At 47.5% G+C, this 16,199-nt stretch overlaps 1 protein-coding gene across 3 annotated transcripts, besides 1 other annotated feature; it reads right to left on the bottom strand.

Annotated features, from left to right (window-relative positions):
* Positions 1-332: 332 nt before the first annotated feature.
* MTNR1B (melatonin receptor 1B) lies at positions 333-15,642 on the bottom strand. 3 transcript variants are annotated; one of them, XM_011542839.3, is made up of 3 exons: positions 15,345-15,567; positions 2,570-3,846; positions 333-486 (listed from the first exon to the last, which is right to left on the bottom strand). In XM_011542839.3, the coding sequence occupies exons 1-2, from the start codon at positions 15,565-15,567 to the stop codon at positions 2,981-2,983; spliced, it is 1,089 nt and encodes a 362-aa protein (XP_011541141.1). In that variant the 3' UTR covers positions 333-486; positions 2,570-2,980. The 3 variants fall into 3 exon arrangements, with proteins under 3 accessions (XP_011541141.1, XP_016873266.1, NP_005950.1); XM_017017777.2 differs by lacking the exon at positions 15,345-15,567 and adding an exon at positions 7,506-8,134; NM_005959.5 differs by lacking the exon at positions 333-486 and having other exon boundaries at positions 2,511-3,846; positions 15,345-15,642.
* Positions 14,595-15,094: an enhancer, noted in NCBI's record as "H3K4me1 hESC enhancer chr11:92703365-92703864 (GRCh37/hg19 assembly coordinates)". NCBI's record gives its function as "activates a minimal SCP1, AML or CMV promoter by ChIP-STARR-seq in naive H9 embryonic stem cells {active_cell/tissue: H9 hESC(naive)}" and the evidence as "EXISTENCE:reporter gene assay evidence [ECO:0000049][PMID:30033119]".

The raw sequence follows: 16,199 nt of genomic DNA, 5'->3' as shown, positions 1-16,199 counted from the left end.
AAACAAGTACAGCATTTCAGAAGTGGACAAAGGGGACTGGGAAGAAATGAGTGGATGGTAAAAAGATGATAGAGGACGGCACAAATAGTGTGTGTGTCTGCGTTGTCTTTGGGCTTGATCCAGTGTGGCTGATGTGTGAGTCCAGGTGTTGGTTCACCCCAGATGTCAACCCAGGCAGAAATCTGGACCCGATTCGAGTCCCCTTGATGGCTGAGGGTTTCATGGAGGGCTCAGAACTGAGGGGTCCAGAGGAAGGTCCTAGAAGGATGAGGAGGAAGTAGCCAGGTGGCACCTCTGACCAGACTTTTCAGTCAAGGAGGTGGAAGACAGGCTTCCCCAAATTTTGCTGTTTCCGCAAAAGCATTTTTATTTACAATCAGGGCCCACAGCATGAGGTCATTCCAAATATGTACATTGCTTGATGTCCTGGGCCTGGGCTTTACCATTCTTTTTGATTCTCTCAGCTCCTGGTTTATCACCAAAAACCTATGGATCCAAGAAAAAATTCCAATTAGTGGATTGTCAGTGCCGAACCCTGGCAAACCAGGTAACAGCTATGGGCCCAGGAAACTGAAGACAGCCTTCAATCCATATTTACTGAGCACGTGCCATGCATTCAACTCAGCACTGAAAGATAGGGATAAGGAGAGGAAGTGTGGACATGCTGTTGCCAAGAAATTGATGCCTCCTTCTCCTCCAAATTAGGAATAAAGGGCAAATCTCTGTAGTTTGTGTCTAGGGGGAGGGGAAGCAGCAAGAACAGAAAACAATACATGCCTGACCAGGTCGCTGCAAACTTTGCCCAGAGCCAGGAAAAGTGGCTGAGAATCCTTAGGACTCTTCTGCACCTCTCTGGGACTGAGGTGTGGACTGAGAGGTCTCCCTGGGTGGAGCACACTACCATTGCCATCATCAGGACTAAGACATCTTCATTCCCAACAGTTAGGTCAAGGACCTCAAGTATTGGAATCAGATTCCTAGACCTGCCCCACAAAACCTTGTTGTCAGAGCCCAGAAGATTTGCATTTTTAAGCAAGCTCCCAGGTGGCTAGGGGACTAAGCACAGCACCCAGCCTAGATTCCTCACATTGCAAGGCCAGAAAGAGGATCCAGCATAATGCTAAGAGGTCAGCACACCAAGAAAATCCTGGGTTCTTCATTCAGGAAAGCCGCTGGGTGGCTGAGGACCCCAGGCACATTGTGGACATGCAGTACTTAGCCCACTGCACTTTGTCCCTGCCACATATTCCGAGGTGGGATGATGGGGGATAGAAGTAGGGTGCTGTCATCAGACAGACTTGAGCTCCACATCTAGCTCTGAACATAGCTATCTGAATTCTGGCAATCATTCCACATTTTTGAGTTTCAGTTTCTTACTATGAAAATTGATCATAGTATCTTTTTCCAAGAGTTTTGTGGGGATTAAATGACATAATGCATATCAAGCCCTTACCACAATGCCTGGTACATAGAAAGCACCAATGGATATTACTTGATACTAATTTATCAACAGACTGTGACCTTGCAGAGGGCAGGCAACAAACCAGTCCTGGCCCACAGAGGGCACTCAGTGTTTGTGGAACTGAAGAAAGCTATTAATTCTGTTGGCGCTAAACAAAGATCTGAGATTTCTACGAATATAAAGTCCACAAATACATAACCATAGAAATGAATTGGGGTGCAGCTGCCCTTTCCCCACTTCCATGTCCCCTACCCCATTTTCTCCCCTTCCCTTCCTGTCCTTCTACTTCTTCTTCTTTTTTTTTTTTTTTCTGAGACAGGGTCTTGCTCTCACTTTGTCACCCAGTCTGGGGTACAGTGGCACAATCTCAGCTCACTGTAGCCTCAACCTGCTGAGCTGAAGTGATCCTCCCACCTCAGCCTCCTGAGTAGTTAGGACCACAGGAATGGGCCACCATGCCCAGCTAATTTTTGTAGAGACAGGGTTTTGCCATGTTGCTTAGGCTGGTCTTGAACTCCTGGGTTCAAGCTGAGGCAGGGGTGAGGCACCGCATCCGGTGATAGCCCTTCCTTTCTTTGTATATGACTTTTCTCCTTCATTTTATGTAGTTATAATAATAACAAAAGCTAATGATTACTGCCTGCTAGCCACATGTCAGGCACTGTCCTCAGCTCTGCAGATGTGTTATCCCAGAGAATCCTCACAACAACCTGGGAGGCTGACTACGGCATGATCTTCACTTTAAGATGAGTAAACTGAGGAACAGGGAGGTTAGGAGACTTTCCCCAAGTCACACAACCTGAACATGATGGAACCAGAAAAGGAGGCCAAGCGGACTTTGTGCTCCAGATGCTGGAGCAGTGTGACTGTGTGTGTGTGTGTGGGGGGGGGGGGTGCAGTGTGTTTGTGATGTGGTGGCTATGTGTGTGTAACATATGTATGTGTACACAGTGTATGTGTGCATAGTGTGGTGTGTCTGTGGTGTGATGCATGTGTGGTTGTGATTGTGTGTGTGTAGGGAAGGTCAATGGCGGAGTGTGGAATGCTTGCCCTCTGCACCTGCCCCACCTGAGGCCCTTGCAGTTACCAAGTTCCAGTCCTACTGACCTCTCTCTTTCATCCTTGCTAACAGGAAGAGATCCTGCCACGCTGGGGGGAAGGGGAGAAAGCAGCCAGGAGGCCAAGGCAGGAGGATGAGGGTCAGCTATGAGAAGGAGTTGGGCTCTTCTGCCCCAGGCCTTTCCTCATTCTGTCCTTTCCTTGGTCTTGTGTGCACCAAATCCCCAAGACACCACCAAGAGTGTTTTCCAGGTCCTGTGGCCTGTGAGCATCTCCTGGATCAGCCTGAACCCATGGCGTTGATGGGCTGCTTGTCCCAGCATGAAGTTCCCCCAGCCTTGGGGCTGTGATGCCAACAGGACAGTGTGGCCCAGCAGGCTGCCTGGTCTCACCCTTGCAGCAGACTCTCTCCCACCATTTCATGAGTTTGTCATGCTGCTGGTGTGCCTCAGATCCAGGCTAGAGAGCATCTGCCTGGTGCTGCACACCAATGATGGGTGGAGCTGGGCTCTGCAGCCCCTCCGCGTGGCTGCCCTTGGAAGCATCTTGAATGCAGTGCCGTGGGTTCCAAAGGGCCAAGAGGATCCTCTTGTATTCCCTGCGGAAGTTTTGGTTCAAGAGCCCATAGACAATGGCATTCAGGCAGCTGTTGAAATAAGCCAGTAAGTAGCTAGTGACAAATAGCCCCTCAGGGATCTGGGGAGCCATTTCTTGGGGGTTGATGGCCACAGCGAGGCCGATGCAGTTAAGTGGAGCCCAGCAGATGGCAAAGATCACAAACACCACAAACATGGTTAGAAAGCTCCGCAAGTCGCTGGGCTTCAGGCACAGCCTGCTCTCTGGCTTGGCTTTCCTGCGGGCCTGAAGCACCAGCACCCAGATGCGCAGGTAGCAGAAGGACACGACAGCGATAGGGAGGAGGAAGTGGATGACCACCACTGCCGCCGTGTACTGGGTGCTGGCGGTCTGGATGAAGGTGCAGGAATAGATGCGTGGGTCGTACTCCAGGGACCCCACAAAGAAGTTGGGCAGCAAGGCCACCACGGTGAGGAGCCAGATGAGGCAGATGTGCAGAGGGGTGTGCCAGCGCCGGTAGATTCGGTGGTAGGCCATGCTGTGGCAGATGTAGCAGTAGCGGTTAATGGCGATGGCAGTGATATTGAAGACAGAGCCGATGACGCTCAGGCCCATCACAAAGGCGCTGGCCTTGCAGTGCTCCTCCCCCAGGGCCCAGCCGTCATAGAAGATGGCCACGAGGATTAGCGGGTAGGGGTAGAAGGCCACCACCAGGTCAGCCAATGCCAGACTCACCAAGAACAAATTACCTGAAGCAGCAAACAGAGCAACAGTCAGCACGAGACCCCACGACTTAGATTCTGTAGAACATCCTACCCTCCACGAAGTTACTTTTGGCAATGTGAGTGGAAACCAAGTGGCTCTTAGAGGCACAGAACTGAAGACTCAGATTGCATTTCTGCCACTCACTAGCTATATGACTGAGGCAAGCTGTTTAGGCTCTCAGAGCCCCATTTTCCTCATTTGTGAACTAGGGGCAGTGATACCTACCTCATAGTATAGCTGTAAGAATTAATGATACAAAGTGCTCAGGGATTTAACAGGTGCTGACACATGCTAACTGTTTCCATGATAGGCACAGATGCTCACGGGCTTTGCACCATTTAAGCTCCAGCAAAGATTTCGGAGGAGGAGAGTCTGAAAGTCAGGAGTGTGGATTTCTCATCACTATCATCGCTCCCTCACATTCCCTCACCTCCTCGCACATCTCTCTGGTTGTCTCCTTTTGCATTTTCTCCCCACTGGTTAACAGGCTACTTTCTAAGTGTCTTTACATGGGTTTTGTAAATGTGAATTGCATTTTGCAGCTGGACTAGAAGAAAGGTGTTGAGAGTGGGAACCATGTGTTTCTGGTATTCCCATTTGTGCCCTGTCTGGGTCCAGTACTCCCAGCCTTGTGGCCATGTTGACAGACACTTGCAGTAGCGGCACAGAGCCCCAGCCCTGTGGGGTGAGAAAGGGCTGTCAGCACTCCTAAGCTCACAGCCTCTGGGGGGCCTCCCTGCTTTGCCTGCACCATGGTGGCCTTCCTGGACTATCTAGGCATTTATCCTTTGAATGGAGCCTTATCCAACATCACCAAGCTTGGTCAACCAGAGAGAGCCTCAGGAAATGATACACCCATCAATTAATATGCTTCAGGCATGTTCTAAGCTGGAGTCCCAGGGCAGAGGCAGGGCTTACTCTAAAAGAACACAATCTCTGCTCCTCAAGTGTTTGCGTTCTAAAACCAACACTGACTCACGAATAGAGCACCAAGAACCTAAACGTTTGGGCAATACAAAGCTCATAGTGTGAGCAGTTCCATCACTAATGCCAATCTTCTCATTCACCAAGTGTTGTACTTTTTGAATACCTACTGTATGCTCAAAAGATAACAGACTCTCCCTCCAGCAGGGTCCCTGAGTGATGCAATGTGCACTGGGCATGGTATTTTAAATTTTCTGGTCTCTTGCCACATGGTGAAGCCTCCAGCCTTAGGGTGGCGGAATGCAGAGGGCGGCTGGGATGGTGTGCAGGAGGAACTCCCAAGTCAGCAAAGACACAGACATGGAAACTCCACAGCCACCATGTGTCTGTCCCATTGCCACAGAGGCTGTGGTGGCTTTGGGGGTCTAGAGGGTCAGGCAGGTGGAAAGAGCCCCCAAAGCACAGCAATTGGAGAGGCCAGGCTCTGTGTGGATTCCACGGGGTACAGAAAAAGGGAGGCTGAGAGCCGCCCAGCTGGGATTTCACCTGAGTCAGCCCTTCAAGTGAAGTAGATGGCACACCTGGACTTATTCACCCACAAGGGTAGGAAAAGGACTGCCTCCAGCCTTCCCACATTCACCCCATCTCAAAGAAGATTCCCCATAGCATGGTCCGAATGGGGATGGGAACTTGAAAGACCCTCAGGAAGCCTTCATGAAGGGCCTATTTTGACCTCAGAGGAATGGGGTCAACCCCACTGAGAACCCACACAAGTCTACTGGAGTCCTGGGAGTTCTCAAGACCTAACTATAATACTACTGTGTCCACAGCTAGGTTAGGAAACCAGGGAGACAGGATGTAACTGAATAGAAAGGAGATTGTCTGGACAATTAGAGCGCTTGTGAGGTAGTGAGTTTCCCTGTCTCAAGATTGTCCAGCAAGTTGGATGGCAAAGGAGAATCATGACTCAACTGAACTGCTGGATTCCTACCTACTCTACTATTCACAGATTTATTTACTTCATGGGTTAAAAATGACCTCATTTCCTTTCTGGTTGGTACAGCAAGGCAAAAAATGTGCAACAAGGACCTGCTTGGGATGTGGAGGGGTTTTGTGCCTTTTAATTTAATTCTCAGCCCGCTGGCTGTCTCCACTGCTGGATCTCCATCTCTGACTCATCTACACAGACCTCACTTGGTTCCAAGAACATGAGGGATTCCCTCTCTCACATTGCTTGTCTTCAGCTGAATCAGGAACCCTTGTCTCCTGAGAATTTTATGTGTCCTTTTGAAATCTGGAGGGTTGTGCTGAAGTCAGAGAAATCTGGGATAATCTGAGTCCTGCCACTTTATGGTTGAATGAATTTGGGCGAGTTCCCGAGTTCCTTTCTTGGTGACTATTCCTACATGAGCTCCTTTCTTTTCTTTCAGAGCTCTGCCATCACTTCCCCCTGCACACTCATAGGGTTGGTTCTGTGAAGAGAATCACTTCTCTCCAGCACAGGAAGATGAGTCTCCATAGGACCCGCTGGGCACCTGGCCCAGCAACACACAAGCTCTTGGCACTTGCAAGCTGAGCAGAGAAAGTCAAGAGCTGCTGGGAGCCGGTGCCAGCTCTGCCAGCTGTTTCCCTGTGAAGGCAGAGTCAAGTTCTGCTGTGTTAATGTGGCTTATCCCCTAATAATGCCCCAGAGGCTGGCAAACAGCTTGTAAATAGTAAGAAGAACACATTCAACTCCATGTGGAAAGTGATTCAATTACTATCCCCTATTACTCTGGCTGTTCCTAAAAGGCTGAAATCAACCACTTCCTGCTATAGATTCATCTGCCCAGACATCCCACTGTCTCCAGGCTTTCTTGGCACAATTCCAAATTAGATGAATAAAATTTGTGTTTTGTCTTCCATCTGTAAGAAGCCAGGTCCTATGTGGATGATAGTCAAGGGGAGATCCAGTTCTCCATCCATTTCTTCCCCAGACAGGTGAGAAATCACTCAGTATGCACACAGCACTGCAGTCACCGTGTGCATAATGAATATTTATGTCATGGGTCCTGGCGTGACTCGTTTCCATCTGCCTCCAGCAGATAGGGTGTATTAGTGGAGAGAGGCTTTGACAAGAGGGCTTTGTTTACTAACATGGAATCCCCTTCAGGATTCATACGCAGAGCGCATCCTTTCACACACACAACCATCACAGTCTCCTCCCTCTTCTCTTCCTCTCTCTTTCTTTCTGGAAAATGTATTTCTTAATGGAGATCTGGTAATCTAGGAAAGAGCCAGCCAGTGCTGAGCTATCTAATATTCGTCAGATAGGAGAATTCTGGAAGGTAAAGCTCCCTGTAACCCTTGCCCCCCTCCTCTGTGCTCACCCTCCATGCTCAGAAGAAAAATTTGGTTAGACATAAATTCTCCTTGGTCATTGAGCTAAAAGACAAGATAGAAAGAGAGAATCATCAAGTCATTTATGTGACAAATATTGCTGAGTATATACTAGGTTCTGCCTTTGACTATGCCAGATGGACAGGCTACCTCCCCTTATAAAGTTTATGGTCTCTTAGGGAAGACCATTAAACAAATAAAAACAAGGTGCCAAGAGGGATATGTTGGGGAAGTCAACAAATGATCTATGTTTTCTAACAGTGTTAAACTTTCTGTGCCTTGAGGTCTTCTTCCACTCTTCCATCTGTTTAAATGTGTAATATATTTATTGAGTGCCTACCACATTCAAGTAAGACGCAGTGATGGATGAAAGACATGGCCCCTGCCATTGAGATGCCCATGGAACTGTTAGGGAAACAAAAGAAAACAGTAGCCATTCAATTAGGTGAGAGCTGGAAGAAAGGCCAGAACAAGGTGGTGGGAACAGTGGGGAATTTGTGAGTCAACTTGGGACTGGGGACAATGGCAGGATATGGGGTTGGTCAGGCACGACAATTCACCAAGGAGCTACACAAAATTACCAAGACTTTTGCAACAGAACTCCTAACTCCCAGAATGGCTGTTTACCTCAAATAAGATGTTGTATGGGAAAGGTCATGAGAAATAACAATAATCACCAAATTAATGTGAGATATTCTTATTATGTTCTGGGGATGGGCATTTGAAATAATTGACCATATAATTTATTCACAACTTGATTTTCAAACAAACACTAAAACAATGCATTTATTGTAAGCTTGTAATTAGATTCCCAAATCTCTTGAGAGCAGATATTTTTTTCTTCCAAAGTCACATATTTATGAAAATCTTAGGATGTGTGGATGAATCATACAAGAGCTGAGTTGAAATCTAACTTTGATTTAATTAGAAAACAAAAACTGGCTAATCAATAGTGTACACAGATATATATGGGGGTATTTCAACCACTTAAAAGAAGAAAATATATTTAAGAACATAAGCATCCATTTAAAAACATAACTAAGATGCTTTACAAAATATTCTTCAATAACCATCAAAAGAGATCATTTTGAAATTCTGATAGGTAACATTTTATTACTTTACACTTAATAGCAACAAAACAACCATTGATATAACATGGTGAAGTTGATAGTATAGTTTTACATAAATGGACTCCATTGTTTTTCACAAGAATTCCTTAAGGTTGACAGCATGATTTCTGTTTTATAGATAAAGAAACAGACACCCAGTTTGTGTGAATTGCTCATAGCCATAACACAGAAGGATTGAGAAAGAACAAGAAGAGGAGAAAACCAAAGAAAAGAAATATCAAGGGAATTAAGAGAAAGGGTGTAGAGAGTTTCTTGGTCATCTACAAAAGTGAGAAAGGACAGAAAAGTGCTCATTGGACTTGGTAGTTAGGAAGGCAGTAGTGACATTAACAAGAACAAATTCTGTTGAGAGCTTGGGGATCCAGTTTTGCCCTGGAGATTGCTCTATCAGTGTTGCCTTCAAAAGAAGGAGATAGAGAGTGGCGCTTAGGAAGGAATATCCCTTTGATAGGGGACAGTGGAGGGCTTTTTTTGCCTTTTCTTTCTCTCTTAAAGGAAAGAGACTTGAATCTGGCATATAACAAGCACTAGTAATATTAGCTATTATTTGTTATTACTGTTTTATATTATTAGCTGTACTGACAGATCAAGAAAGAGGCTCATAAGGTTGGACTGGGATCCCTGTGAGATAAGATGTGAGAAGTAGTAAGGACATGAAGATGAAGAAAGTAGGACATTCCTTCTAGATGGCAAACTCCCTAAGAACTGGGGCTTTACTTCCCAATTCTCTATCTCTACTCCTCCAGCAGTAAGTATTTTAAATTGAAAGAGCCAGTAGGAGCTTTCAGTATTCTCTGAATTTTGTGGTATATCATATCCGAATGCAGAATCCAGCTTTCTGGAGATAAAGACAGGCAAACATTAAAGTCTTTATACCCTTGAGCTACTGAAAGTTACATGGGAGGAATTAAAGAGGATTATTAGCTTTCCTGATTATTCAGCTAAAGACATAATTATGGGATTTAAAAACTGTTCATTTTTGCTCAGTGAAGAGGCAATAAGGTATTCACAGCTGAAATGCAAAGTTGGACAGCTTAAGAAACATTCAGGAAGGAGTCCAAGGTTACCCAGTTTGGTCTTGGGCTGATAATGGCACTCTAAACATTGCAGGCTGAGCAAGTCAAAAGACACCTGATGCCAAGTGACATCTCAATGAGTGGTCGGTGGTAGGATAGAAGCCTTGATGGAGTGGGCTCCACTTCATTCTATAACTTGGAGGGTAGGGGCTGTGGGCCTATTAAGCATTTCACTCTAGGCCTTCCAGAGCCTTTGTTCAGAACCATGCTGCTTATTAAGCATCATTTGCTGTCTCAGTCAACAAGTTGGAAGAGAGGAGGCAAGGAACAGGGGCCACAGTGCAGACTGTTTTCTAATCTAACCGGGGAAGCAAAGCACCTGCATAGGCAGAATATTCCCATCAGGAACCTCCCAGGCAGTTACTGGTTCTGGATAGGAGATGGTGTGAATTCTTAGCATCACTGGGGGCCTGGAGGAGGGGCAGCTTTGCCAGCATAGACAGAGTGACCTTGGACAAAGATCTGTGTGTTCAGCAAGCAAATCCTCCATGTTTTCCTAGGCAATCTTAACATCAAATAGTTCATATATTTCTGCTTTACCAATCATCAACGTACCCCAGAAATGCCAATTCGTGCACTCACTAAACCTCCCAGACAGCCTCTTTAACCCATTTGCAGCACAAAAATCCATTGTCAGACCACAGCTTCTGACTGCTACTTGGAAAATTAAGGTGGCTGTGCCTATGGAGCCAGGAATAACTGGTGTTGTTATGACTTCCTCTCTGATAGTGGAGAGTACTTGGGTGTTACAGTGAGGACATGGTTCTCTCAGCTCTCTTATATGGCCAGCATATTACAGGCAGCTTAAAAGTGGCCACCTCGGGCCAGACCAAGAAAGGGGCTGTATTAGTCTGTTTTCACGCTGCTGATAAAGACATACCCAAGGCCGGGCACAGTGGCTCACACCTGTCATCCCAGCACTTTGGGAGGCTGAGGTGGGTGGATCACCTGAGGTCAGGAGTTTGAGACCAGCCTGACCAACATGGAGAAACACCATCTCTACTAAAAAATACAAAATTAGGCCGGGCGCGGTGGCTCACGCCTGTAATCCCAGCACTTTGGGAGGCCAAGGCGGGCGGATCACGAGGTCAGGAGATCGAGACCATCCTGGCTAACACGGTGAAACCCTGTCTCTACTAAAAATACAAAAAATTAGCCGGGCGAGGTGGCGGTCGCCTGTAGTCCCAGCTACTCGGGAGGCTGAGGCAAGAGAATGGCATGAACCCCAGGGGGCGGAGCTTGCAGTGAGCCGAGATTGCGCTACTGCACTCCAGCCTGGGCGACAGCAAGACTCTGTCTCAGAAAAAAAAAAAATTAGCCAGGTGTGGTGGCTCATGCCTGTAATCCCAGCTACTCAGGAGGCTGAGGCAGGAGAGGTTGCAGTAAGCCGAGATCATGCCATTGCACTCCAGCCTGGGCAACAAGAGTGAAACTCTGTCTCACAAAAAACAACAACAACAAAAGACATACCCAAGGCTGTACAACTTACAAAAGAAAGGTTTCATTGGGCTTACAGTTCTACATGGCTGGGGAAGCCTCCCAATCATGGTGGAAGGCAAGGAAGAGCAAGTCATGTCTTATGTGGCTGGCAGCAGGCAAAGAGAGAGAGCTTGTGCAGGGGAGTTTCTCTTTTTCCATCAGATCTCATGAGACTTATTCACTATTGTGAGAACAGCATGGGAAAGACTTGCTCTCATGATTCAATTACCTCCCACCAGGTCCCTCCCACAACATGTGGGAATTCAAGATGAGACATGGGTAGGGACACAGCCAAAGCATATCAGGGGCAAACTCCCCAAGAGGAATCAGTAGGGTACAACCATGGCATGGCTGGAAACTGCTGAGCAACTTTACTCACACAGGAGAATCACAGAACAAGCATGCCTTCATGCAGAAGGTGCCAATAGTCAGCTTAACATGAGATATACTTTGGGCTGTTCTCAAAGCAGTTCAGTTTCATGAAAACCTGTATTGATTACTTATGCAGTGCTGAGTACTGTAACTGAGGTCTATCCCAGCTCATGGAGCAAAATCAATTAATTTTCCCCCACTACCTGGTGTCTTATCCATTTCCAATTTAATCAGAGATGTGTTCTGTTCTTACTATGTGTCTGGCTCTGTGGACAGAAACTGAATGAAAGTGTCTGCTCTCAGCAGGTACACGGTCCAGCGGGGAGAGACAAAGAACAATAGTACAGTGAGGGGGATGCTGTACTGGGGAGGGCACAGGTATCTTAGAAGCCCAACAAGGGAGACACTTACTATCCCCTTCATGGTATTAATAATCAACATTGATAATCCTTCAGGGGAGTTGGGGAAGGAGTTGAAGGAGGAGCAGCTGTTGACTGGGCAGAAGAGGTAGAGAAAGTACATCAGGGAGTGCAGACCCTTTGGGAAGTAGCAGCAGCTCACTGTGACACTGGTGAGAGGAGGGCAATGAGGCTGTAAGTTAGGTGGGCTAGGCCAGCCGCAAATGGCCGTGGGAGCTGTGCTCTGGAGTTGGACACTGTTCTGGAGATGGAGGGCAGCCACTGAAGACAGGGAAACTCTTGGCAGTGGTAACAGTGGCTGGGGGAGGGAGCAGGAAAAGCTCTCAAGCACTATGGATAGTGTTTGCTCAAGAGATGATGAAGGCATGAAGTGGGGCAGTAAGAATAAGGAGGCAGGAAAGGGAGAAATTGAGAAATAGTGGAAGGTAAAATCATTAGGACATGTGGAATGAAAGAGTAGGAGGAACCAAAGATGACTTTCAGGGCACAGGTATCCGGGAGATGAAGAGAAAAAGGAGATCCAAAAACTAGCACCAGGTTAGCCGAGGGAATGAAAGGTCCCACAGAGGGAGTGGCCCTCAGTGTCACACACAGCACAGAGGAACATTTCCAGAGAATGGCGCCCAGAGGACTGAGGAAGGACGGGAAGCAATGGGGTAGAACCAGTAGATGTCCACAACTACATTAAAATGTCTGGCTGAAAAGGGAGGGAGAGAGGTAGTGATGAAGTTAGGAGGACATGAAGTCAAGAAAAGAGTCTTTTGTTCTTTTAAAACAGGAGACTTTGTGTATCGTGTGTGTGTGTAACATGGAGGAAGTTTCCAGAAGAGAGAAAGGAAGAGCTCAAAAATGCAAGAGATAAATATTAGCGAGGTGTAGCTCAAGGGTCAGGGCAGCAGTGGTGAGCCCAGGAGGGAAAGTTCTCAACGGCTCTCAGTAGAGTCAAAAGTGTGGCAAGTCCCTGGGAAGCACAATCTGACAGGCGTGAGGTGCCAACCCAGTGCCATGGGCTGTGCAAGACTCTGAGAATGTAGCAAAGAGTGAACACACTTGGCCTTACCTTTTAAGTTGGGTCGGTGCCCTGACCCTACCTCCCACCTTGCCTCCACTCCTCCCTGTCTGCCTTTCTCTGGTGCTATCTCTGAAGTCAACCCACCACATGCAGCAACAGACACTACAGATAGGATATCCCTGAAAAAAAAAAGACAATTAATCTAACCACTCACCCTGCCATCAGGAGCGGCACTGTTAGGAATGATACAGATCTGCTCCATAGAGGAACTGGGTTTGTGATAGGCAAGTAAAGGATACTGGTGTCTCCTGGGAAACATGCTGTGACCTCAATATGGGCTATGTATCTTGGTTATTGGAAATATATGTATTCTCATTGTTACAGACTTAATTTTTTAATACCAATGATTTAAGGAGCCAGACTTAAGTACAGAAAGGTCTGAAGAAGCGTTTCTTAAATTAAATCCAAACTCTTCAGTAAGACAAGGCCTGATTAAGAGTAGAATGTGTGCTAACTATTCAAAGAGCTGTAGGTTTTAAGCGCCTTTTGAAATCTCACTCTGCTGAGATCATTTAGTTCAAGTCAGTACTACAATTGTTTGTGACTGTCACCAATAAAGCCAGAGGTCACATAAGAACTGGTTAAATTGCAAGACTGCAGCAGTGGCAGGAATTGATGTCATTTAGATATAGTGTTATTATTATTTTTTTTTGTTCGGGTGCTGGGCTGTAGCGGACACATCAGGAGGTAGGAAAGATAGAACAGAGGATATGCCAGCAATTTAACATGCTCATGACCCTCCCCAGTGATGCTCTTAAACTGGTTAGGTTTCTGCAGACCCTGCCAGGATCACAGAAAAGGCCAGCCCTCTGTAGGATGCAGGAGGGGAGGGGTGCTTTTCTCCTTCCAGCAAAAGGAAGCAACTCCTACTTCCCTCAACCACCTTTCTCATGGTGGGCAATCCAAATTACTGAGCAGGGAGCCATGGCCTGACAGACCTGCTCTAAATACTCAATAAGTCAGGGACAGAAGGGGCCAATGTCAGAACCAGGAGGACCCATTTCTCCCCCATAGAGCCAGGAGTTGTCTCCCTTTTGCTTCCCTGTGCTGGAAATGAATGTTTATGATGGCTGCAAGGGACAATGTGTCAAAAATATTAAATGCAGTTTTCTAATCATAACCTGTTTTTCCCTAATATATAAGCTTTTCTTCAAAGGACACAATATTTTGAACAATGTATTCCAGAAAACAGCCACCACTACTGAAGTGAGTTAGAAAGTTTACTTCTTCTTAATAATGTTATGTTTCCCATATGATGGCTGGATACTCACAGTTGGAGGAGTTTCTTGTTTGTTTTTTTAGCTAAAAATCCTAGAGTTGGCCGGGCGCAGTGGCTCATGCCTGTAATTCCAGCACTTTGGGAGGCCGAGGCGGGTGGATCACTTGAGGTCAGGAGTTCGAGACCAGCCTGGCCAACATGGTGAAATACTGTGTCTACCAAAAATATAAAAAATTACCTGGGTGTAGTGGCGAGCGCCTGTAATCCCAGCTACTCGGGAGGCTGAGGCAAGAGAATCCCTTGAACCTGGGAGGCAGAGGTTGCAGTGAGCCTAGACCATGCCACTGCACTCCAGCCTGGGTGACAGAGTGAGAGACTCCATCTCAAAAAAAAAAAATTTCTAGAGTCACAGGCCACACCAAATACATATTACTATTTGCTAAAAATGGTCTGACTCCTTAGAAAAGCATTTTTAAGCTATATGGTTGTTTTACTGCTGCTATCTTTCCATTTTAATTCACTCTAATATTTGAATTTGCTCCCAAGGCCCAACTTGAAGAAACTGCAAAATTAACAAACAGGTGACTGAGCTCCTTCCTAAGCTGAAGTGGTCATCATGCCCCATGACCTGTGAGGGCTAGAGTTCAGATACTGCCCCCCACTCTGGTTTTGTTTCTTTGAAGACCTGACTAGGGGAATATTGAAATGAGAGTGGATTGAAATAGGAAAAATATTTTCAGGATTACAACACGATTTAGCCAAATCATTGCTTTAATTTTCACAGTTAATCCCAGGAATTCCCAGTCTTCGGAAAAGACCACAATATTTCAAAGCAATTTAGTTCAGTCCAAGCAGAATCTGCAATTTCTGCATTTACTCTCCGTCAACTGGAATTGGGTCTTCAGATGACCTGGAGATAAGTTTTTGACACAAAACCTACTGAAATGCTTCCATTGATTAACTCATTTTTTCAGCAAGGATTTTCTAAGCGACTACTACATAAAGCTACAGTGCTTGGCAAGGAAGGAAGTGGGATGTCAAGTACAGGTGGTGAGATTTCTGTGGCCTGATGTGGGCACCTCTGGAAAGACACGCATTGGAGCGCGACGGGGTAGCGATGGCATCCAGCAGCGTGGGTTCCCACAGCGCCGGCGCCCGGCCAAAAAGCGCGCCAGTAAAACTTTCCGCAATTCCCTCTGTGCCAAGCGCGTCCTGGGCAGCCGCACTTCGGAGGGGCAAAACTCACCCTAACTTTTGAGTGCAGAGTCAAACTTAAGGAATAGGTTAGAGTGAAGGGAAAGGGGAGCCCGGGCTGAGGAGGGAAAAGGCAGCGCATATCCCGGGGTCAGGGACAAGATCAGAAGACAAGGAAGGGCCCGATGCCAGCACCCAGCATCAGGAATGGTGCTCACCTGCGTTCCGGAGCTTGCGGTTCCTGAGCACGGAGAGGATCACCAGGAGGTTGCCCACGACGTCCACGGCGGTGGTGACGATGAGCACCGCGGACAGCGCTGGAGCCACCCAGGGAGGTCGAGGGGTCCTGGAGGGCCGCGCGCTGCCAGCCCCCGACCAGCCCGGGCGCACTGCCCACCCGCCCGCCTCGCAGCAGTTGGCGAAGGAGCCGTTCTCTGACATCGCAGACTCTCCCGCGCTGTGCTTTGGCCACCGCGCGGCCCCGGACAGCCGCAGGGCGCGCGCAGTACTGAGCCGGGCGCTCTCTTCCCTGCCCAGCTCGCGTGTGCAAGGGAGGAGGCCAGTGGGGAGGGGTCTGGAGGAGATAACTAATTAAGCGTGGGCAGGGGATGGAGAAAAATATAGGAATGGGAGGAGGACTTGGGGTGCAGCCGTTGTAGAAGGGAGTGCGTCCCTCAGCGGTGCGCTCAGGAACAGCTGGGACCGCACAGCTGTCTCTGCCACCCCGAGCCCAGCAGGTGCCTGGCCCACCTCAGGCTGCGGAGCGCGTCTAGCTTCTGTCCCTGAGTATATAGCCACACCCGAGACCCCGATTTCCTCCACAGCGTCCCCAAGAGAAGCTGTGTCTAGGTAGGGACGTCCAACCCAGGTTGATAGACTGGAGAAGGTGCTGATGGTAGGGACCTCCCATCAGTTGTCAAGAAAGGCAAGGTTTGACGTCCCATAGGGCTGTGCAGCCCGAAAGAGAATGCAACTCCTAAGATGTGGGGACAGAGCCCAGAACAAAGTAGGGTAGACTGTTATATTCTAGGGAGCTGCAGAAAAATACGAACCTAGCCATTTTCCAAGCACTC

The sequence above is a fragment of the Homo sapiens genome, chromosome 11 (genome assembly GCF_000001405.40).
Source record: "Homo sapiens chromosome 11, GRCh38.p14 Primary Assembly".
In the NCBI taxonomy this organism is placed as follows: Eukaryota; Metazoa; Chordata; class Mammalia; order Primates; family Hominidae; genus Homo; species Homo sapiens.
The sequence above is the reverse complement of the archived record's forward strand: the minus strand, read 5'-3'. Positions and strand labels throughout refer to the sequence as shown.

Bases quoted from the DNA above. Each gene is read 5' to 3' on its own strand.
- MTNR1B (NM_005959.5), bottom strand. From the start codon at position 15,567: ATGTCAGAGAACGGCTCCTTCGCCAACTGCTGCGAGGCGGGCGGGTGG. The intron at 3,847-15,344 runs GTGAGCACCATT...TTGCTGCTTCAG, and splicing joins CCGCAAGCTCCGGAACGCAG to GTAATTTGTTCTTGGTGAGT.